Here is a 24,951-nt window from a genome sequence, read left to right on the forward strand (position 1 = left end):
GGTGGTCATATTCCATAAAGTCACCACGGACACTGAATTAGTGAATATTGAACCACTGCTCCTAGGAGAAATGTTGGGTTAAGTTTCTGCTAGCCTCTTGTCACAACATTTGTGTCAATGGATCAATACATAACTTTGTTTCATGTGTGTTTCTGATTAAAGACAACTTATTTAATATGTATTGTTGATTAACTCTGAAGTCATGGTCAAGAGTACTATAACATGTCTTAATGAAGCTTCTCTAACACACTTTTTCTCTATAAGGCACATCACATCCTTCATGCTTAGGAATACTAGAGAGCATGACAGCATATACGTGTGGGCCATTCTAAACCATGAAATCACCAACAAATAGCACAAAAATGCAGGAAACATGGCACTAAATAGATCACAAAAAGAACACTAGGAATGTGTATATGTCAGGAAACAACTTTGCTGCTCTGCTCATATGTAAGGATGTATCACAAAGCACCACAAGTATTGATTTGGGGATGACAAATGCATTTTAGTCAGTAGGGAAATTCACATATGCAGAATTTGTGATGATGAGGATAGACTGTACATGTCTCTTTTACTATATTGTGAGTTATTTACTAGCAAGAACCAGTTTTCGTTTTCTCACAGCATATAGCAGAATGCCTTGCAAAAAGAAAGCATCAAAATTAGATTACAAAGAACTGAAAGTACCATGCTAATTATAAACTAAATGAAACTATTAAACATGCCCCCTCTTCTAATAGACTAAAATAATTTATAAAATACCTCTGAGCCATGACTTGACTTGAGCTAAATGTTTTCTAAAGCGTTTTTTTGTTTTTTTCTTTTCTTTTTGAGACAGAATCCCACTCTGTTGCCCAGACTGGAATGCAGTGGCCCAATCTCGGCTCACTGCAACCTCTGCCTCCTGGGTTCAAGTGATTCTCCTGCCTCAGCCTCCAAAATAGCTGTGATTACAGGCGCGTGCCACCATGCCCAGCTAATTTTTGTGCTTTTAGTAGAGACAGGGTTTCGCCATTTTGGCCAGGCTGGTCTCAAACTCCTGATCTCAGGTGATCTGCCCGCCTTGGCCTCCCAAAGTGCTGGGATTACAGGCATGAGTCACCGCACCCGGCCTGTTTTTGCTTTTTTCACTTAATATTGAGAACAACTTAGGAAGTCACAAGGTAGGTTTCATTATCTATATTTTACAGGCAGGTATACTAAAAGAGGTTAAGGAACTTATTTTTTAGAGAGAGATTTTAGAGTAATAAGAAGCATTTTAGAGATCATCTAGTTCAACTTTGTCATTGTACAGATGAAGAAAAGGAAGCATAGAAAAGTTAAATAACTTGTTCAAGGTTACCACCAATGGAATATTAGAGCAGGCAGGAACACCAAGTCTTTTCCCCCTAAATTCTCATATTTCTAAGTACCCTAAGCATCTTTCACTTTACCACATTACTTATTTTCACTGACTTAACGCATCCTCAGTGATAGAATGAATACATTCTGGTAAGAAAGCAACTCAGAATGCCAGAATGATTTGACCTAAATATTCCTCTAAAAGTCCACTTGGACAACAAATAATATGTTATTCAACTAAGGTAATGTCAGTTCTTTTTAAAATATCATAGCATTTAATCTGCTGTTAACACATTTAACACAGATCATCAAACCATCTATTACATCTCTGTGAATTCTATCATTCTCCTATTGAGTAAATGAGACTTTAAAAAAATGATTGAGCTTTCATTATTTTAAAGAAAAAATTTCATAGCTTTAATCTATCACTTTAGATATCATTAAGATTGTCCTTTAGGTTCAAGGCAGAATTATACCATACTGCATTTAGAAAATACATTTATTTTGTTGATACCAATCAACTTTACAGGTGACACAGTTAAGGACTTGTGGATTATAGTATACAACGTTAAGTAGATAGATATACATTCCTGACAAGACTAAAAGTTCTGTAATGGCAAGGACATTGCCAGTCTATCACCAATCTTAATATAGTAGAATAAATAAAATTATTTAATTAAATATAATTATATATTGATATATAATTTATCATATAAAAATAAATTATTAAAAATTGTTTTAAAATTAAAGTTGTTTTACTTGCTGTTTTACTGGCAGCAAATTTTAAAATTGCTTTAAAAAACAAATATTTTTTGTTCTAAAACTGTTTTACTGGCAGCAAGTAAAACAGTTTGTGCAGAGACAACTTAAAAGAAATTAGAGTAGTTGGGCATGTAAGAAACACATTAAAAGAATAAAAATACAAAAAAATTAGCTACTTGGGAGGCTGAGGCAGGAGACTAGCTTGAACCTGGGAGGTGGAGGTTGCGGTGAGCCGAGATCATGCCATTGCACTCCAGCCTGGGCAACAAGAGCAAAACACCATCTCATAAAAAAAAAAAGAGAGAGAGAGAATATACAATATATACTCTTTTTTTTTACCAAGAGTAATCAGAACATTGTCTTACCTATTATTGTATGAATTATTTATTAGGTTGCCTGAATTACTTTCATAAAATTATTTGATTTTTTACTACTATTTTATTTTTTCTAATTTCTTACAGAGAAAATGGTTCTGCAAAACAATTTTTTCCATGTAAAATTAAGAATTTCAAGTTAATCTTAAAAAAATCAGAGATAAAATTAAATTTAATTCACAATCCACTTTGTATTTGGAAGAAAATGATGACTGTTTTAAATTTTTTTATGACGAAGAATCTTGAAGCTAAGTGCTGCCACAGCATTCTCATAACAATGTTCTATTTATTTAAATGTATTGCAATATTTTACAAATAAAAATGGTGCAGTTTGTTTTATTTTTTAAGGCAAAATTATGTTAGCTACATTTTCCTTCATTAACATCACTATTTACCCATCGTGGCAACTTCCTGAGTCTACTTTAATATGTTCAATTACACTTAATTTTAGTATGCTTACATTTAATATATTCTATTTTAATAAACTGGTGACCATTATCTGGCTTCCTTCAAAGTACTCCAGTTACATTACATCTGGGAACCACTGAACAAAATCCTCAGTCTCACATATAAATGGCATTTAGAAATACGTATGTTTTTGGCAGACAGGAGCATTCCAACATAGCCCTTCAAAGAAAATGACAAGAATTTTAAAAACCACTTCACTTTATTTGAGTACTAGGTAGTTCAACTCTCATTCTACCAAGATAAATATTATGAGAAAAAGATCAAAAGGACTGTATTTTATTAAAAAAAACTTTGGAATGCAATTTCTTGGGCAATTCCTTAATATACTTAAGTTAAAAGAAATTTCCAGTCATTTTCATCTCTTTACAAGATTGTTTAAGAATGACTTCATCCCAGGTGCTGACCTTTAAAAAAAAATTCAATGTCAATTAACAGAAGTCCAAACGTCTTGAATTTTTTTAAATGAAAAAAATATACATACATGCTGGCAAAGATTATTTTGTTTTGACTTGTACCTGGGAATTCAGCCTGTTCAACTGGGATTGGGAAGTTTCATTAATTTGCTGTAGCTCCTCTTTCTCTTGATTAAGTCTCTCTCGATCCGATCGTTCCTTTTTGAAGTCTTCTTCGTATATTTGCACCTAAGAAATATTAGCTTGCTGTTACTGTAAGCTTCCTTTTCACTTAAGCCATTTAAATGACTTTATTTTAAATGACTGCTGCCTACTCCATTATTGTAAAGAACCCTCCCAACTAGTGTTCAGTGTCACTGTTTTGGAGCAAGTCATCCATCCCTAACACAAGGGCTTTGATGTATGAATACTGCTTGAACTTCTAAAAGACAGTTTACTGACAATAGATGTTAAGTGATGCCACTAAATACTGACATGCCCAAGTTTCCAGACATAAATTATAAGTTGAATGCAAAAAAGAAATGAAACCCTTACATATGTGGAAAAGCAAAGCATGATTGTTAAAAGGTATTCACAAATTTTCCTTTTATAAGTTATTTTGGATGTATCTCATAAATAATAGTAATATTTGAGTGGAACACCTCTTGAGAGGCACTCCAAATATTTGAGAAAAGTGACTAAACTAAAAACAAAAACAGGTTTAATTATTGTTACTGTTTTCAACTGACTTACTGTTGACTGAAGGTTAGCAGACTGGTATATAAAGCTATGAAAACAAATGAAAGGTAAGGAATGAAGTAAAAACATTCCTCTAAGATTCTGATTTAAATTACTACTTATATTGGAACCTATAGCTAGATTTTTATCTATTAAAACTAATGCACATTACACTTTCATCACTAACAGCCCAACAAATTTTAACTAAAGGTTTATCAATTTTATTGTTCTAAGTCGACAGCAATAGAACAAAATATGCAAGGGAAGAAATTAAAAATTTTGTATAGATCTACATGCAGATACACATATTACATTTTTAAGGCTTTATTCACCAGAAGCACTGAAGGGAAACTACATCCAGCCACATTGACATTTTGATGATTTTTTTGGTTGAGAACTGACATTCATTTCCAGAGACAGTTAAACTGATGCTCTGTAAACAATTACCAGAGGCATTTTAAATGGGAGGAGCCCATCTGATTAGAATTAAACACTGGCAACATCATCACTTTAGTCAGGTAGGGGCCAAGATTCCAACTCAGTTTCTTTGTGCATTTAAACCCTTTAGTGTTTCATGCGGCACTTGGTGATGTAATGATTGCGGGTGCCTGATTAGAAACGTGCACAGTTAAAATATTTATGGAGAAAGTCAGCAGTAGAGGCACTGCAAAACTACGGAGATGGATTTTGGTCTTCCCACAGGGTTTATGAAAAAAGAGTATCTGTCACTGTAACAAATATGAACCAAATCATTATTATAAACTTTATGTGTAAAAGTGACTCTTGCATGTGGTGTACCTTATATGCGAGTTCCGAAGATGTCAAGTGTTTTGAACATAAGCAGTGCTTTTGGTTTTTGAAGAAATCCTGGCTAGCACCAACAGTTACTTTAGGGGTTGAGAGTTTGACAGAGCTTTAAGACTGTGCATATTACCCTTATTCTCTTCGTCGGTTTATTTTTCAGCTATGTATTTTACCCTGAATGTAATGAAGCAGATTATTCAAGTAAAATTGACAGAACAGAAAATCCAACTTCACCATCAAATGCTATAAAATTTTTAGATCTATTCACAGGCTACTTCATATGAAGCAATAACAATAAAGTAAATAGCAACAATCATAACACAATTGCTGAATTTTTCCATGTATTGCAACAAAAATCTTTGTACTTAGTACTTGCTCAGGGCAAAACCAGTCAGTAAATCATACCCAGGGACATCAGAAAAATAATGCTTTCCAGCCCTTTGTTCTATGACACCCTGTCTCCCATTGCTAATATGTTACTGACAATGTGTGCCTCAGGGATTGAGGTTCCTTTATGTATCCTGTATTTATCATTATTGCCATGAACCATTCCAGATTTTTCTCTACATTAATTTAACCTCTCACATAAAAAGAGACATGATATGCATGGTCGGCCCCTCAGCTAAGTGAATTTCAGCAGATTGATTAAATTTAGACACAGGTAGTTTAACCAATGCAGTATCTCCACAGCCCTATGCTGCCAATAGATACATGCGGAAGTTGTAGAGAGTGCATCCTTACTCTTGCTGTCCACTTGGCAATAGCGCGTGAGGTTAGGTGAGTGGGGAGGAGAATGCTCTTGTGCATCAGTGAATTGCTAAGTGGTGCCATCCATACACGGGACTAGCTGAGAAACCTGGTTTCAGTGATTATAATAAGTACAAAGTATTTTCTTTGAAACTGCTCTTATTGTGCGAAGGCCTAGAGGCTAGCAACTACAGAATCACCACTCAGCTGCTACCATTTTCTGAAAAAGTCCAGAGTTGGGATTAATAGTGTTCTTAAAATAAACCACGTGGCTGGGTGCTGTGGCTCACGCCTGTAATCCCAACACTTTGGAAGGCCGAGGCAGGTGGATCACGAGGTCAGAAGTTTGAGACCAGCCTGGACAACATGGTGAAACCCCATCTCTACTAAAAATACAAAAAATTAGCTGGGCATTGTGGTGCATGCCTGTAATCCCAGCTACTCGGGAGGCTGAGGCAGGAGAATCACTTGAACTTGGGAGGCGGAAGTTGCGGTGAGCGGAGGTTGTACCACTGCACCACAGCCTCAGTGACAATGGGAGACTCTGTCTCAAAAACAAAAACAAAAACCATGTCTACGTGAAACTCCCTAGCCCCAGTGCTAATAGAACCTCACCCAAAGGTTAATTGGCGTGCCCCTCTTTTAATTGTGTGATCTTGGGTAAGCATTTAATCTGTCTGAAACTCAGTTCCCTATGTTCTAAATGGTGGGACTGAACTAGCTGATCTGTATTCTTTCTATCAAGCTTGAAAATTAGATAATTCTACTTAAAATAAATGCAAAAACCTTTGACATATTTCTAGCAGCAAGACATCTAAAAATGCCCAAAGAAGCATGAAAAATGGGCAGTATGTTCTCCACAGGATCATGCCACTTCCAGCTTCTCACCTGCTGCTTCAGAACTTCCATTTCTGTTCTCATCTCCTCATGGCAGAATTCCACTCGAGACTTCCTCAAACAGTCCTCGGAAAATGAACACTTGATATTCAAGGCATCCTGAAGAGCCTACGTAATAAGATAAGTACACTGTTGATCTAAGATTTACCACATGGAATGAATTCTTTTATAATTGTTACAATCATCTCAAATGCACCCACAAATATGCATTTCATGTTTAACGCTGCTTACATAACCAAGTAACTTTCTTCTTTCTGATTTTCTCATATATGTATTTTTTTTTTCAGAATCTCTGTCTTTTTTCCATGATGATGCTTATGTTAGTCAATCCTCATTATTATTTAGGCTTTGATATTGGACCCTCCTCCTCCACCTAGCCAACTATGAAAACAAAATCTGTATCTATAGACTTTCTCCAGATTCTCTGCTTCAGTCAAATGTATACCCTTTCAATGATGCTTAGCCTTAGGGAAAATCAGAGGCAGCAAATATGCCCATCCCTTGGTACTGACTCCCAGAGATGATGAATCAGTAGGCTGGAGGGTATGGTTTGAGAATTTGCATTTCTCAGAAGCTGGTGCTGCTGGTCCCAGGTGATGTTTTGAGTAACATTCTACTATATAACTATGGCATGCCTCCAACAAGAGAGAGGGACATCCACAGAAATGAAAGCCCATGCAGATTCATTATCTGTTAGCTCTGTTGCGTTGCTCTTCTGCCCTGGCCTAGCCACAGTCCTGTTTATTTTCTGTTAAAACATTCATTAACTCACTACCGAGTGGAGAGAGTGCCCTGCTTTCTTGACATCCAGTATAAGTTGATGCTTTTAGCATGACATGAGGAGAGGAAAGAAAGAAGTAATACCTGTATTCACCAGAACGATTATCATCTTTAGTCATTAGCTCATGATGGGCATATCATTACATTATGTTTGGTAATATCATATGAAAGACATTGCCTCTATTTTGAAGACCTTTGGTTCATGATAAGTTCAATAAAAATTACTTCCAAATATTGTGACAGAACACTTCTCATCCTGGTGTGGCCTCAGAGACCATAAAATGACTACTTGCTCATTATCAAATGAGTCCTCTGTACAAATAGAAAAGGTTCATTTTCAGAGATCTAAGAATAATTTGCTTCTGTATTTCTTTAGTAACTTCAACAGTGTCTATTTGGTGATATTAGTGGTAACTTACTCCACTGCATTACTATATAATATGGTCATAAAGGTAGGAAAAGAAAAGCAAATGTGTGGTTTTGAGTATGTGAATAGGCTGGGAATTTCCTAATAGAATGTCTTAGAATACACAAATACTGTCTAGCCTGATATGAATATCATTTTTTTTCAGGAAGTTGTAAGAGAAAAAAAGAGCTTTTTTCATCCTTCAGGGAGAATTTAAAGAAGCAACAAAAGTAGTTTAATAATTTATGTTTTTTGAGGATTTGTGTTAAGCTCTAGGAAGTGTCAGAATAGTTCAATTTTTTTTTTTCAATTGGTGAATAGTAGTAAAGAGAATCTAGGGTGGGGTGGGCCAAATGGATTATGGCAATGGAATATGCTGGTTCCTTATCCTACACCTGGGAATAGACTACTTTTGTAGATCTTGTTATTTGAATTTTCTGATCTACTTTTCATGCTATTTGGGATCCTAGAAATTTTGTAAATGAGTCATAAATGAAAGATGAGTCTAATAGATATTTATTCCATTTTGGGCTTTCCCAACTTCCTTGAACAAACACCTATAACCTATTCTAGAATATTTACGATTAGTATGGATATCCTAAACAGATCTACTGAGATGTTAGACAAATCAATTTTGCCCACGGGTGGCACGAGCTGAGTAGCCTTAGGTAATTGTTTTCACTTTGGTTAAACATCTGGCTTCAGGAGCCTGATAAAAACAAACTCCTAGGTATATTTCCCCATTTTCTTCAATGCAAATAAATTGAATAGAGTACACATAATTGTGTGAACTTCTAAAAACAGTATGTTAATTACAAGGCTGACATATTACAAATTTTTTCTGAGTGAATGGGTCAGCAAGCATTCAGCTTGTACATAGAGGGTAGGCCCTGGATTCCATGCTGTGATGGATGGTGTGCAAAATCAGCTACCAAAATCAACATTTTGAGTAACTTTTGTTTATCACATTGGTAAGAAGGAAAAGAAAAATATTCATTGTAAAATAGAAGAACAATAATATCTTACATTAGGTACCAAAACCCATCTTAAATAAGACAAAAATCTACTGTCATAACTCATCACTTTATATCTATACTTTTAAGGGACAGCTTAAAGTATAGATGTGGGATGAAGTCTTTTCTGGCTTTAAGCATCCTTTTATTTTTTGCTCACTACCCATAAGTAATGCATTATGCCTGTTAAAGCATGAATTCTGGGTCCAGAATTGTCTACCAAACATATTATATACTAGCTAATTAAATTCATCCATTCACCCATTCAATAAATATTTAAGAACTTACTCTGAGCAAAGTCCTGTTCTAAGTATTCAAGATAAAGCAGTGAACAAAACAGAAAAAATTCAGAACCACATTATGACATTGCCTGAGTCCCTCCCTCCCTAAAAATACATGTTAAAATGATATTTTACAAATGTGTTGTTATAAAGATGGATACATAATATATGAAAATGTGTTTTCAACCCCAAAGTTTATTTTTTCTTCTAATTTTAAGAGAAATTAAACATAAACATACTTATGGGTCCCTAACAGTACTGTAGGCCTGGCCACTGTGCCTCTGGTGCCTAATGGAGGAGTTGGCACAAAAATCCTACCTTCATGGAACTAACAACCAAGATTAGTAGCTAGAAAACAAATAAAGTCATAAAAGTTAGACATTATATATACATTAGATAGTAATAAATTCCAAGGAAAAATTAAACCGGGAAATACCAGTAGTATAGTATGTAATTTTAATTAGGACAGCCAGAAAAGTCATCTTTGAGAGGTGACATTTGTATAAAGATCTGATTTTACTCAAATTATTTTTTCTCATTGAGATTTTATAATTGTAAAATCATAAAATTTTAAAATGTAAAATTTCGTGTAGAATTATTAAATTATATAATCACCGGAATGATGAAAAATTGTATTTTTCTAACTTGAAACAATTTTCTGTGAACTACAAATATGGATACACAAACATGAAGAGTGCACATGGACATGAGCAAAACTACAGCATTCTTGGCTGTTCTAATATCTACAAGGTTTATATCTTTGTGTCTACATTTAGGGAAATTAACTAGACAATGTAAGAAAACTTGTAATACGGTATCAAAAATGGGAGGATTTTAAATATAATCTCAATTATTTATAGTTCCTTTAATGCATTTGTGCAACATTTTCTGGAAAAGAAAAAAAGGGAAAAGATAGATTTTGCCCCGCATTTGTATGTCTGAGCATGGTTTTTCTGTCTTAGAGGATAAAGTATATTGTTTATGAAGTTTATCCTCATTTTCCCATTTTCTCCTGAAGAATAACTTGTCCCACACACAGATCTACTACAGGATCACATTTGCAAAGCATCCTATCAACTATGCAGGCACATACTTAATACTTTGAGGATCTTTAAATAACATCTCTGAACACCAGTTAACTACAATCATGGGCATGTGGTCCAAAATACAGGGTTTGAGCACCTGTTTCAAGTCCAATCACCTACTCTTGTTTCAGAAGACAATTTCTGTTGCTTTTATCATGAAATATCTAGTTGAGAGAGGCATATCTCAACTCAACCATGTGCTAGCGCATTCCTATGTTCCACATATGGGTTGGCTCTTGGAAAAGTCAACAGTATAGGATTATTTTTCCTGAACTAGTTAGCGACCCATTCCTCCAAAACATGAATGAACTAGTCCATAAAACAACACACACACACACACACACACCCCTGCATGCACACACGCACACTTTTCCTCTCTCTGACTTTAAAGTAGGTTTAAAGTAGGTTTTAGGCTTGCACTTGAGAGAGCTATCATCTCAGCCTTGGATTCTGCATTTAGCATGCTTCCTTAGAGTGTGTTTCACACCCAACTCCATAGTGATCATTTTAAAGAGCAGTTTGTTTCCTGAGGAAGCTTTTGCGGTTGACCAAGAGATACGTTATTGTTCGCAAACACCCACTTGCTTTATGTGGTTCTTCAAACTAAGAAATGTTCTTACTGTCTCTGTAATTCCTCCTCATTTCTCTTTCTCATGATGAATCTTTGTAGGGACAAAAATTCTCTAAAGCCTCCTTAGCCAAGTATGACTGAAAGCTGCAGCTAGGAGTGATTTATAAAATCACAGATAATTTCTTGTGCAAGCCTCCAAGGCTGGGACCCACACTGCAGCCTAGATTTTGTTGCGACTGTCAGTAAGAATGTTTTATGCAGGGACTTCTCATTTTAATCTCCCATGCTTGACCTGACTGATACCTTATTGAGGCGTTTTATTTCACATTCGTAATGTTCCTTTTCCTTGTTCGCAAGAGTATTTTTTCCCTTTAAAAGTTTATTCTCTTCTTTCAATTCATGTAATTCTTCATTTAGGCGTTCCTTTTCCTTCTGAAGTTAAGACCAAGAAAAGAAAATAAAAGTCAGTACAAGTCAAATGAGATGATATTGTAGGAATTCTGATATATCAGCCATGGCAGGCAGATTGAGGGGTCACCCTTCTGAAATACAATAAAAACAGGACCTGCAAGACTTTAAACTTAATGTTCCATTTGAGCAATATTCTTTGGATGCACACTAGAATTAGGATTGAAGGAATCTTTCTTTTATCAGAATTTACTGAAGTATCTTAGAAATTTTGTGACCCCAGGAAAAAAAAAATCAAAATTCCCAATTCTTTTTTTTTTTTTTAAAGACGAATTCTCACACTGTCTCCCGGCCTGGAGTGCAATGGTGTGATCTCAGCTCACTGCAACCTCCGCCTCCCAGGTTCAAGCAATTCTCCTGCCTCAGCCTCCCTAGTAGCTGGGATTATAGGTGCCTGCCACCACGCCCGGCTAATTTTTTATATTTTTTAGTAGAGATGGGGTTTCACTATGTTGGCCAGGCTGGTCTCAAACTCCTGACCTCGTGATCTGCCCGTCTCAGCCTCCCAAAGTGCTGGATTCCCAATTCTTACTTTCAATTATCAGACAAATGGGTCTGCAGGATAAGCAAGTCCTTATATACTGTCACTAGGTGATGGATAAGTGATTAAGAAAAATAGCTGAAAGTCTTAAAAAGAAAAAACTCTCATTGTGAGAAAACAATACTAAATATCTCAAAGCTCATTCCTGCATCATTCTGTATTAGAAAGAGGGAAAAGAGAATAATCCTTAGGCCAATAAGACCTTTCATTACAGATCATTATTTAGAGCACTCTATTGTTGTGATTATTATTTTTAAAAGGTAGAAATCAACTAGTCCAACTGCCACCACTCCTCCAATTTTAGATGACAATCTAAAATTGTCATCCAGAAGTGCAGTGTTTTAAACAACTGAAGGTTAGCTGCGTAAACATCAACAGGCTCTGGATTCAGACAATATCTCCTACCTCTTAATTTTGTATAATAGATAGCAAACATTTTGTGAAGTAAATTGGATTCTTAATGAGATTGAGATTTTAACCCAGTAAAATAAATATTGCAGAAAATAGGTAACTTGACATGCAAAAATAGCTAATATATGTGTTAAAGTGTGTTATTTGAGTAACTAATATTTCCCAATATGATTATTAAATTTAAGAAATCCGCTTTAGGTAATTCATTTTCTTTAAAAGGGAAAATATTTCTATTTGCTTTTATTTAAATAGAATGAACATATACACTTAGAAAATAAGCCAATTATTTTCTAATTTAGCATAATTTAAGAGAAAATTATTCCAATAAGATAATGGTCCCAACTGCATTGAGGGAAAAATTACTCAGATTCCTGGCTAGAGTGTAATTGGAAAAGGAAATGACTGCTACATGGCAGAAAGGGAGTGTTGCTAAACTCTGTTTTCCTGACTCACTGTGACAAAGACATCCTCAGCAAGATAGGAAAACCTGGACTGGCATTGTCTGCGCGAATTTCAGACATTGCCTTAAGATTTGTACATGTTTTAAAATATTGCCATTGCCTCACGATATCAGTGATAAGATTTCCCCTCAGAGTCTTTACACTTTGTTTTTTCTTACTATACCTAAAATAACGAGGGGCCATTAGAGTTTAAGGTTTCCTCCCATTTTCTACAATATTCATGAAGTCCAATAATTGAAAGTAAAACCAGGAAGAAAAAGTGTTCTTCAGGAAAAGCTGTCATCTCAATTGTCACCATCCAGTTCTCAGCAAGGGACTGATAGAGCTTTAGAATCTGGAGGTTGGGTTCAAGTCCTTTTTCATCAACGTGGGCAATTCAATTTGTTTACATCTCAGCTTTCTCATTTTTAATATAGCAAAAATAATATTTTGCTCACAGGTGGGCCAAGAATGTTAAATGAGATAATGAGGACGAAGGCTTTAAAAAATGTCATAAATTTATGGTGACAGAAGTAAGACCTCATATATAAATCTCTCTGTAAGCTTGAAAAGCTACTGCACAAATACAAGGTATTGCCATATTATTATTATGAACACTACTAATAAAAATAATAAATACGAATAAAAGCAAAAGAAAAAAAAATTTCTCCTAGGCTGAAATGCCCTAGAGAGTTAGCAAATTTATGGATCCGTTTTCTTCTTCCTGGAAGGGACTGGGGAATGACTGTCTGCCTATTTATGCAAACCAGGAGGAAGCCGGCAGAGAATCTCCTTCCTTCTTATTCTAGAGAAGTGACCCTTGTTCATGGCTCTTGGGGACTTGCGTAACCCATGCACCCTTGCACATCGGTCGTTGCTCAGTAGTGAGTTGATTTTAATAAAACGGTAGGTTTTCTACAGGAAATCCCCCCGCCCCTTTGCTTTTATTTGGATCCTCCGGGCTCGAGGACCCGGGCCCCGCCCACCTCCTCCCGCTGCAGCCGGTCCCGGGTCAGGTCGCGCTGCCTGTCGTCCTCTCTCTGCCTGTCGTCCTTTCTCTGCCTCTGATGCGGATCCTTCTCCCGCGTGCTGAGGAATCTTTCCGCGGCGTCCAGTTTCGTCTTCAGCTCTGCTACCTGAGGAGGTCGTTCAAAGACAGCTGCAGATACCTTCTCTGAAGCTCACAAGCCCCTGGATTTATTCCCAGGCTATGAACTTTGGCAGAAACGCCCCACCCCAGGACGTCCCCTAAGGAGAGGTTCTAGCTCCCACCGTCCCGAACACAGATCGGGATACTCGCGTTTCAAAGGGAGCTTGGCCTTGCACCAAAACAGCCTTCTTTTCTCCAAACCACCCAGCTCTTCCTTCTTTTCTCCAAACCACCCCTACTTCAGAGGGGATAAAAGACTTAGACCCCACCCAGGGGAATCTGTAGGTTTGTCATTCTATTCTCAACTCTCCAGGTGAGCCTAGCCTGGTCTGGAAAGGGCAATGAGGGGCAGCAGGTTAAGTAGCATATGCCTACACCAGAGAAAAACAGACATGGCCTTTAATTTATCAGTAATTTGCAGCACTTGACCTCCTACTAGGTGCCAAATCACTCTGATGACAGAGTGACAGGTCCTCAGAGTGGCCACAGTCCAGAGGGAGAATCTTAGAGATGGATGCATCTTCCAAGATGGAGATTATAGCCATCACTAACACTGTCTTCACACACCTGCAAGCCGTTCGAGAAAGCAGCTTAAGCATTCTCTCTGGGATCATCATCTTTAACATTTACAGATCCGGATTGCCCCAGCAGGGATATTGCAAGGCTGCCTGACCATTGCCTGGTGCAGCAGGAACATTATCCTGCACCTTCTAAATTCAATACTTCTGGGTAACAAAATGAGGAAGAAAGGAAAAATGCTGCTATATTACAATACTCATGGTCAAGTTTCTTAATACTGAATTATTTAGGGGAAAGTACTTGCTCTTTTTATCTCTTTTTGAAAATAGAATAATTTTAAATTATAAATTGTCTTTTATGTATTAAAGGAGGTTTTCTTCCAAAAGCCCCTTTCTCACCAGAGCTTCTTGAGAGCAAATATGCTTTAGATGGAAGAGGAGGTTGCTCCATTTTTACTCACATTTTCACTGTTACCACCATTTGTTTCTCTATTTGTGGAAAATAGGTCATGCTATCTAATTAAAGAATTAGGGCTAACCTGGCGTAAACAGTATGGACTTTAAACCATATCTCACCTCACATATAACTTTGTGTATTTGTGGCTTCTAGTGACAAAGGTAAGGCTGGGATACTCTGTGAGCCACGATAAATGTGCACAAGAACTCTTGAGACATCACTGGGGGCCATTTTTGCACCTTTCTTTAGCTATTGCTCAAGACAACTCACTGACACCGTTCATTAATTTTCAGTGCCATGAGACCAATACTACACTTAGCACCCTTCCCGTCATTTTCCAACAGTTGGCTATCCACAAAGCTCTTTGTAGCTGAAATGAATGAGACTCTTCACACAATTGGCCCCACCAGGATAATGGCTTTAAAGAAAATACCGAATAGAGAGAGGTATTTACCTTTCTTTCATATAACTCTTTCATACTTCTAAATTGCTGATCCCATTGCTGGTTAACTTCCAGGAGCTGAAATCATTAAAATTTGGTGAATCAACAAAGAATTTCTGCCCATTTGGAAGTTTGGTCAAAAAGAAATTACTTTCTGAGCTTATTAAGGTTTTAGAAGCCATGGATGAAGACAATATTTTTTTCCATCAAGTTCTGATTGTGCTGGGATGATTAAATTGAACACACTCTCACTGTTTATAACTGGTTCGTATATGAAAAACTACTGGCTGGGTCCGGTGGCTCACGCCTGTAATCCCACCACTCTGGGAGGCCATGGCAGGTGGGATCACTTGAGGTCAAGAGTTGGTGACCAGCCTGCCCAACATGGTGACATCCCGTCTCTACTAAAAATACAAAACTTAGCCGGACGTGGTGGCATGCACCTGCAGTCCCAGCTACTGGGGAGGCTGAGGCAGGAGAATCACTTGAACCCAGGAGGTGGAGGTTGCAGTGAGCCGAGATTGTGCCACTGCACTCCATCCTGGGCGACAGAGTGAGACTCCATCTCATGGAAAGAAAAGAAAAAAAAGAAAAGAAAAGAAAAGAAAAACCAGTAAGTCTCAGGTATATCTTGACAAGTCAGCTGAACAGTTTATCAGTAACTTTTAACTTTTTTTAGTTATTTGGATTTTCATTTTCTTTGTTTAATCCAACCACAATCTGATAAAAATTTGTAAGTATTGATGATTGTCTGTAAGATTTCTTAATGCATGGAGGTTCTTTTCCCAAACTTTTTCGTATTTTTCTTTGTGCTTACACTGATTATAATGAAATATTTTTTCCAGCTCTTTTAAAGCAGAATTTATGCTAACAAAGCCTAGGCTCCATTAACTGATCACGATTTTCTTGCAATAATGTGTTTTAAAAGATTAACACATGATTTATAATAAATACTCAACAAATAGGTAATATCACCATTTTGAAAATTTAGATTTTCAAGAAATTATAGTTTCGTCATAGGACAATATTTAGATGCATTTTAGGCTACAAATAATTTAAAGATCTTAAGACTATCTGCTAATTAGAAGGCAGAAGAAGTGCTATGATATGTGGTTGGCTTTTTGTTGGGGAAGTTTGTAGTTTTCTGCATTAAGAGAAATTCCAACGCTTATCTATAGGGAACAGACACTGAGAAGACAGTCATAATGACTAAAAAGTAGCAAAACTTTCTCCTAATTAAAAAGCAAACTACTGAATCCAGAGTGGCAGTTACTAGGTAACTCTTATGCTGAAAATACATATCATTATTTAGTATGAAACTGTATAATATTATTATATTGAGAGTTACTCTGTTGGCATTTTAGGGATTCCCATGTGTATACTATAGTAACATTACTCTGCCATCGTTCAATAATTTTCCAGAAGGTCACAATATTCTTCAAGTATCAAAGAAGAGTAGAAGGCACCATGCAAGAGAACATGAAAGATGTAGTACACAGAATGAATTAGAAAAGGAATTACAGGCTGGGCACGGTGGCTAACTCCTGTAATTCCAGCACTTTGGGAGGCTGAGGTGGGCAGATCACTTGAGGATAGGAGTTCTAGACCAGGCTGGCCAAAATGGCGAAACCCCATCTCTACTAAAGATACAAATATTAGCTGGGCATGGTCGTGCACGCCTGTAATCCCAGCTACTTGGGAGGCTGAGGCACAAGAATCACTTGAACCCTGGAGGCAGAGGCTGCAGTGAGCTGAGATCGTGCCACTGCACTCCAGCCTGGGTGACAGAGCAACACTGTCTCAAAAAAAAAAAAGAAGGAATTACAAAATTGACAATATACAGAGTGCTAAAATTGTTATACTTTTCACTACTTCCTCTGTCAAGAAGAGTAAAGAGGTTCTAACATTCATTAAGCTCAGAAAAATAAAATTCCAAATAATACCCATTAATTCCCAGGAACATTTTAGAAACAAACTTTATTTATGATAATGCTTTTTAACTCCCATGTGTTTGGATGCCCAGTTCATGAAGTCATAGCACCTAAATCAACTATACTTAAAGACTTTTCAAGTAACTCAAGAAACCTTGAGTTTCAAGGTGTGTCAAGTTGCAAGGCATAAAGGGTAAAGGTCATAAGGCACAAACGATAAAGGCATAAAGGATAAAGTAACTTGGTCTGTGTGGAGGAAACATCTAAGTTTTGAGAAAATTAGGATTATATTACCAGACTTATGACTTTGTCGTTTTTCATTCGTCACTGCACAGACACTGAGACAACAAGTATGAAACATACAGGTGAATAAGAAAGAAGGCGTTTGCTTTCAAAATAGTGCAGTCCAGTATCTTAAAGATAAATACTGTGACCTGATAACAAAAATAAAAGGCACAAGGATAATACATTATTTTATCCTCAGCATTAATCCATGGCACCTGTGGCTTTAGCGAATATTTCTAAGTTACCTCTTTTCTTTGTTTTTCCAAACACCTTATCTTTTGTTCAAGAGAATTCATCAAGTTCTTTCTTGTTGATGGTTCAGCACACTTAGAAAAAAAAAAAGAGAGAAGATTGAAACAAAGCTGTTTACAAAATAAACAGAAGTACTGTTCCTCAGAAACCCCATGCATTTGGCCAACTCTCCTGTTGCGATTTAAAAAATACCTGATTCTAGCAGTAATAATCCTCATACCCTAAGTCCTTCATCATGGCTGGTGGATGAGTCAGCTTCATATTATGTTTTAGAATGCTTTACATAAATTAGTTACCAATATAATTCTTTAATAAATTATAAATATATCTGTATACTATAACGGGTAAGTCAGAGATTAAAATTTTATGAATTTGGATTTCAATCCTTTTCCAAAAAAATGACAATTCAGAAATCAGGTAAGTTTCATGGATATATTTTAGGTATTTTTATAGTAAACATTTCATAAAAGTCATTTTGGTAGCTGTGCCCATGAACATGTATGTGAGTAATATTCTGAAAAGTAGACCCAGTAAACGTCAGAGGAACGACAAAATCATCGAGAAAAAGACAAACACATACAGCCATTACTGTGTAATTACTGTGTAATTTTAGCCAGCTCTTTGAATAAAGTCACTAGGTTACTAGTTTAGATTAATAATAAATTACTGGCATAATGAAAATTTACCACCTTTCTTTTCAGTTATTTTTTTCAGGAGTGAGAGTATTCATTTAAAGATAACACAAAAGCTGTGGAAGCTGTCTGCCATCTGCCTAAATCGACTAAGAACAATATTTACTTAAATAAAGGACTGGATCCTCTATAATAATTCAATAGTCTTATTACTATCTCATCTCAGAGTCATATAAGTAATACAATTTATTGGATGATGAGAGTAATTCCTACATCTGTAATCTGTTTCAGGCTTAATAGTTACTGTGGATCACTAAGTTGCTTAAAGCTATTTGTGAACCATTAAGAAATATTTTCAAAACATGTTGTTGGTCTTTGCCAGAAATGTGTACAGGAAATTGTTCTTTGCAATCATCATGGGATTTCAAGCACCTTTTTTCATCAGAAATTATTTATAAAACTGTATTTTCTATCTTTTCTCTGTTTGTTTATGTTTCAGCATTTTAGGGTTTGATGGTATTTTAAGTAAGCAGAGATGTTCTCGTTTCCTTAGCTTCTTCCTATTTAGACCTATGTTACAATTAAGACCACATTTAAAAAGAGACAGTCTTCTGTGGGTCAATAAATTCTGAATGATTATATTTGCTCTTGACCTCAAGAAGGTGTTCTGGCTGAGCACCAAGAGTGACACTGAAACCCAAGTGTCAAGTATGTTGGGGCCCGTAATTGGACCTTCTTCTTTTGGGGAAGACTTCCAAGAAACTGGACCCATTCTGGGTTAGAACAGACTAACTATTAAGCATCTTTGATCTGGAAAATGCTGTGAGCCAACCCTACTTAGTGTATCTTGAGGTCATCAGCAAAGTAGGGGCACAGTAAGACTGGATTTTAGAATGGTGGTTCCCACCACAAGAGCACATCAAAGTCACCGTTAAGCTTGCTAAACATAGAGCATCCTGAACAATGGATCAGAATTTCTAGAAGAGCAGCCAGGGCACCTCTATTTCTAATACATTTCCTAGGTAATTTTGATTCATACTAAAGTTCAATATATTCCCATTCTAGGGAATAAATTATGGGTCCTCAAAAATGTCTCCTCTCTGTTTGTGATGTAGACAAAAATCCGTGATTGGCAAACATTTGTATGTCCCTGCCTTTGGGAGCCCAGATGTGGAACAATGAGACAGTGTGCTTTTTGTTTGTTTCCCCATAAACAATTTTCTCTGGAAGAAAATTATAATACATTTCACCCTTGATTTTTCTTTAATAAATAAAAATTACTGAAAATCTAGATACCAAATCTGCAAGAGGCTCTATTTGTAACTGCACGAGTACTAGTTTTTGAAATTCATAAGTAATATTCAGTTATAGGTGGGGGAGGATAGGAGGGAGGAAAAATAGAAAACATAGTGACTAGGAATGGCATGTAAGTCACAAATGTATCACCAAAGCTTTCTCTGGAGATTAATCAACATTTTGTTATAGTTCATATGTCTCAGGTTTCTATAAAATAAAGCGAAATTAATCAAATACAAAGGTTTGGGGGACCTTTTCAATTTGTATTTACTTTGCTTTACAGTTGCTAATGAAGGCATCTGATTTGCAGTAACTACAAAGATTTTCAGTCATTGATTCTAGCAAGGGCTGCTTACGGAACAGTTATTCCCTATACATAATTTCCTATAATTATTCCCTATAAAGTAGAATTTCTGTTCAAAGCATCTGGGCACTTCTTTCTCTATGATAACATCCTTACCAATGTATATTCAAGGTCTGATGCTACTAAATTAAAAACTTAAATGAATAGAAGTTTCCATTTAGTTTCCCATTATACCTTGGTTATCTGTAAAAGAAAACTAGAAAATATTTGAATTCATTCATTCAATTAGCAGTAGTCTCTGTTGCTGAACAAAATCTATGGTACCAATTGTAAATATATAAAAATATTACTACAGATACTCTATTGTTACAATATGTTCTATTTCTACCTACACCAATATAGTATTCTTTTAAGATTTTTATAGAACAAAAATCAAGAACAAAATAAGGAACCCACAGAACTGGAAGGCTGAAAGGAATTTAAGCCCCGTGGGTTAAAAGCAATGTACTGGTTACTTAGATATTTTTTTCTATGTTACATAATTTTGGTTAAAAATATAGAGCAAATCTTAGCTAAAGAAAGCAAACTAGCCATTTCTGTTCTTATTAATAAGTGCACAATTAACCACTAGAAATGCCATCAATGCTAGATGTGATCAACTCATCTCCTAGAAATATGTTCTTACCTCTTTATGCTCCGTAGAACTTTCTGCGGCAATCATTCTAGATGTGCCCTGTACAAAATGTGCCATGGAAGCTGTTTTTCCTGGAGTCTTGGAAAGCAGAAAGAAAAACAGGGGAAAAGTCTCTTAAGGTATATTTTAGGGTGAGAGCAAGTATACAAAATTTAAAAAACACACATCACCGTTAACTCATAATAGAAAATAACAGCAATAGGTTTTCATTAAAAATGAACAGAAGTGACTGTGGATAGGAATTACACAGAATAAAGTTATAAGCACTGCAACTGGGATTTTAACTTTTCTTCTCTTCCAAATAGGGATTTCCCAGGATGTCTCAAATAGGCAGGCCGTGACTAAGACCTGGGGCAGATTAGCCTTGCTATAGTATGTAAATCGTCATTCTTCCTTTACTGGCAGTTTCTCCCACTGGAGGAGGAAGTTCTCCACCACAGAAAGCCTGGGCAATCCAAGTGTTTCCTCAGTAGCCTAACTGTTATAAATTCATTGTATTTCCCAGAGCAATTAGGTAACTGTTGACTTTTTGACAGCTCGGTTTCCCTAAAGGCGAGATTTTCTGGCAATACCTTCTAAATGTGAGTGTAGCTTGGTAGAACTTAATGAGTCATACATAATTCATAATACATAATAATATAAGTGCCACTAATTCTTATAGAAATAAAAGGGAAAATAATTCATTGTAAAGAAAATGGGCATTGTTTGCAAATCTAATCTTCTATATTGGCAGAAAGGTTAAACTTGTCTCAAGTTTAAGTCTGTCTTTTCTATAAATCAAGTCCAGATTGTCTCCATGACTCATTTGAAGTGAAATCTTCTCATGGAGAATCATTTTCACTTTAATTATTTGACTGTTATCATTTTAGGAGCCTTGAGGTAATGGAGCACTACTGGGTAGTACAGATAAAAGCGTGGAAATGGCAGATACTTGGAGCTGCATAAGTGAACTGCGATGGAACAGAAGACCTCATTTTGGACTTGGAACAAAAGGAAAGAGGCAAGGAATACAAAAAAGGAAAGAATGTGTAACTAAAAAGAGAAAAGAATTTATGGTCAATCATTTAACTTCATTAACCTGCCTACGAGATATTCACATATATATAGGATAAAGCCTAAAACTCCTAAAATTCAAAAGAGAGTGATTGAGTGTCCCACATTTGGCCCTCCCATTTCTCCTGAATATCTCCCCCTACTCTCCAACTCTCCCCTGTGCTCCAACCATCCTGACTGACCTCCCTTTCCTGAAATGAGTGAGATGGTTCTACGCCCCTGAGCTCTGTGCATGCTGTTCTTGCCACCTCAGATGTCTCCTCTCTGGGCCCTCCATCCAACCTTATGACGGGGAAAACCTAAGTCAATGCCTCTCTTTCCTTCTGATCTTCTCTTGACTTCCTCTAATCAGCTAAGGAGAGCACTTCATCATGCATTACGATTACATATTTCCATGTTCTTGTGTTAATCTCTGTGTCCACGCACCCAGGCACTGAGCTGTCTGGCACACAGCAGGCATTCAACACATTTTGCTACATGAATAAATGAATGAATATCTATATAATGATTTACAAAATCGATGAACTTTTTGCTAGTTTGTGTGTGTGTGTGTGTGTGTGTGTGTGTGTGTTTACTTTCTTCTGGTTTCTTGTTATGTTTGGGTCTACGCTTGAGTGAAAGGGAGTGACGCTGCTTTAAGGCAAAATCCAAAAATACAGGTAGGAATCAAATTGTTCATTCAGGGTTCTGAAAGTAAAAAGTTATAACTCACATAAGATCTGACTTTAGGGTACAGAAGCAGCGATTTCCTGAACTGACACTTTATCAACACTAAAATCTGCTCATCAGAAAAGAAAAAGAAAACTCTATTGTAAGAATATTTTTCTTCTGAAACATACCATGCACATACACACTCCATAGTTTTATATAGTGTAAGGTTCTCTTCAGCTTTAACTTTGTATTTGTATAGGGATGTGGTAACATTGACCTAGAAAAGTGGGTGGGAAGAACATTTTCTTGCCAGGAAATACCATCCTTGGCATTGTGCCTCTTGAGTCTCCCCTGTAAAATATCCTGATGCACATACATTGTTAGGTGTGATGGCTTCTATTAAATGGAAATTCTATACCTTTGCTTCTTTCTTTACAATTCCTTTGCCTCTTCTGTTATGCAGATAAACAACAAACAGATTTTCTATTAGCTCAAGAGAGCCATATGGTTATTTATGAATAAGTAATAACTCTTCTGAAGAGCCACAAGTTTGGTTTCAGAAAAATGAGACTTTCAATATGCCATCCCTAAGAATTAATTGGGTCTTTTCTGTTACATATGCTCTGTTCACTTCACCTCCATCCCTCTCACATTGTGCCACATATTTTAAGAGTCTGGCTTTTAGTCAAGCTTTGTTTCATGAGAAGTATCACTAGCTGAAATCACTTTCAGAGAAACAGAGGTGTCATTCCATGTTTCCAAGGCTGTTGTGAAGAGTCTTCATTTCTGAAGTCACTAAAATATTATACAGAGGAAAGAAAATTAAAATTAACAAAGGGAAATGTGGTAAAGGAACAAGGACTACCAGTCACTGGTCTATAACCATCATTCTGGTGGACAATAATTATCTTAAAATTAGTCCAAGAGGAGAGTACTATATTTCTATAAGTTATTGGAGGCATTCTTTGGCAGGTAAAAGAAACATGCCTTTTTCCTTTTTATGCTTTTACAATGGGAGCTGAAAAACCTTCTTTGTTTCCTGAATCTATTTGCATGAATTTTTAAGTGTATGTGCTATGTAGGTAGGAAAGAGAGGATTAGTAATGACTAAAAGATCTAGCTCTAGAATTAGATTATCTGGACTCACAGCTTGGCTCTGCCACTCACTGCTTGTGCCTTTGGTCATCTAAGATGCTTAAGGTCTCTAAGGCTCAATTTCCATTTTATACAATGGGATAGTAATAGTATCCTTCTCCTAGGGTTGCTATCTGAGCTTATATAGTAATAACAATTTGGTTTTAAAGATAGGACCATCAATCAAATTATTTATGAAACAAATAACATGACAAAAGGAAAGGGAAATCCACAATTTATGCATCACTCACCCTGTACTTGACATTGTGTGGGTTCCAAAGGAAAACAAAAGCAAAAATTCCCTGCTTATGATGAAATGTACACACACATACATATGTGTGTGTGGCTGTGTGTATGTCAATATATATATATTTGAAAAACTAAACAGTAAATGAAGACCAGGAAATGAATGATAGAGACAATAAAGCCTGTAAGAATTCAGAGGAGAGAGTGCTCATTATCACCTTTAATAGCTATGGAAAGAGTCAGAGTTTCTGCTGGGCCTTGAAGGGTAGATAGGATTTTGACAGAGAGTGAAAGCTGAGCTATAAATGCTGCAAAGGGAGCACAGTAAGAAACAGAACACAACTGGGCAAGCCTAGTTATGAAGGATTCTGACAAATCCAGTTTACCTAGAGTAGGGTCCGTGTGGTATTTTCAAAGTTTATTTGGATGAAATCATAAAAGATTTTAATTTCAGATTAAGAAATGTTGACCTTATAGGCCATATGGAGTTACTAAAGACCTTTGGGCAAAGGAATTACATGATCAAAGTGGTTTTTTAATTGGTTTTAGTTCATCATGTATTAAATGGGAGAGATTGGAAACTGCAATGCAGTTAATATACATTAGCAAAAGTAATATTCAAAATATTTATTTTAACAGCTTGTGACAATCAGAATATTTAGCACTCAGTTCACCAGGGGCACTAGGAATGGACCATATCCCTGGACTCGAGACTCCTGTATTAATTGCTTAATTGTCATCTCTGCTTGTATGCATAATAGTTACCTCCTTCTTCACCTGACCTGTTTGATCAGGATAGCTTAGTTTATGATTTTCCCTGCAAAACTTGCCTTCCCTGTTACAATTAATAACACCTTTTATTCTCCAGATCAAAAATCTTGGAGTCATCCTTGACTCTTCTTTCTCTTACATCCTGCATCCAATCTATCTGAACATTTTGTAGGCTTTTTGAAAATATATCCAGACAGGGGAGGAGCACATTGCCACAAAAGCCTAGAGACTTCTCAGTTTAATAAGCAAGTGGCAAGGTGAAATAAACTTACCATTTTTTCTTTCTTTTTTCTTTTTTTTTGAGACAGAGTCTCGCTCTGTCACCCAGGCTGGAGTGCAGTGGCACAATCTCGCCTCACTGCAACCTCCGCCTCGTGGGTTCAAGCAATTCTCCTGCCTCAGCCTCCCAAGTAGCAGGGATTACAGGCATGCACCACCATGCCTGGCTAATTTTTTTTGTAGAGACAGGGTTTCACCATATTGGCCAGGCTGTTCTCGAACTTCTGACCTTGTGATCCACCCGCCTCGGCCTCCCAAAGTGCTGGGATTACAGGCATAAGCCAACATGCCCAGCCTTTTTCTTTTTTCTTTTCTTTGCTTTTTTTTTTTTTTTAAG

At 36.4% G+C, this 24,951-nt stretch overlaps 1 protein-coding gene across 8 annotated transcripts in view, besides 1 other annotated feature; it reads right to left on the reverse strand.

Annotated features, from left to right (window-relative positions):
• The window catches only part of TNIP3 (TNFAIP3 interacting protein 3), a 96,076-nt gene that overhangs the window by 12,181 nt on the left and 58,944 nt on the right, over nt 1-24,951 (reverse strand). For 6 of the 8 annotated variants that reach the window (NM_001244764.2, XM_047416182.1, XM_011532257.4 and 3 more), the window contains 7 exons: nt 20,472-20,558; nt 17,548-17,628; nt 15,099-15,164; nt 13,506-13,655; nt 10,963-11,091; nt 6,515-6,631; nt 3,461-3,586 (listed from right to left, as the gene is read on the reverse strand). In NM_001244764.2, coding sequence (NP_001231693.1) covers nt 3,461-3,586; nt 6,515-6,631; nt 10,963-11,091; nt 13,506-13,655; nt 15,099-15,164; nt 17,548-17,628; nt 20,472-20,558 — 756 coding nt within the window. Of the gene's footprint in view, nt 1-3,460; nt 3,587-6,514; nt 6,632-10,962; nt 11,092-13,505; nt 13,656-15,098; nt 15,165-17,547; nt 17,629-20,471; nt 20,734-22,602; nt 22,747-24,951 lie in introns of those variants that run through there. The other 2 variants (XM_017008625.3, NM_024873.6) reach the window with 2 other exon arrangements.
• Nucleotides 12,366-12,660: an enhancer, noted in NCBI's record as "tiled region #6302; HepG2 Activating non-DNase unmatched - State 24:Quies". NCBI's record gives its function as "activates a minimal TATA promoter and a strong SV40 promoter by Sharpr-MPRA in HepG2 cells {active_cell/tissue: HepG2}" and the evidence as "EXISTENCE:reporter gene assay evidence [ECO:0000049][PMID:27701403]".

The sequence above is a fragment of the Homo sapiens genome, chromosome 4, assembly GCF_000001405.40.
Source record: "Homo sapiens chromosome 4, GRCh38.p14 Primary Assembly".
Taxonomy (NCBI): domain Eukaryota; kingdom Metazoa; phylum Chordata; class Mammalia; order Primates; family Hominidae; genus Homo; species Homo sapiens.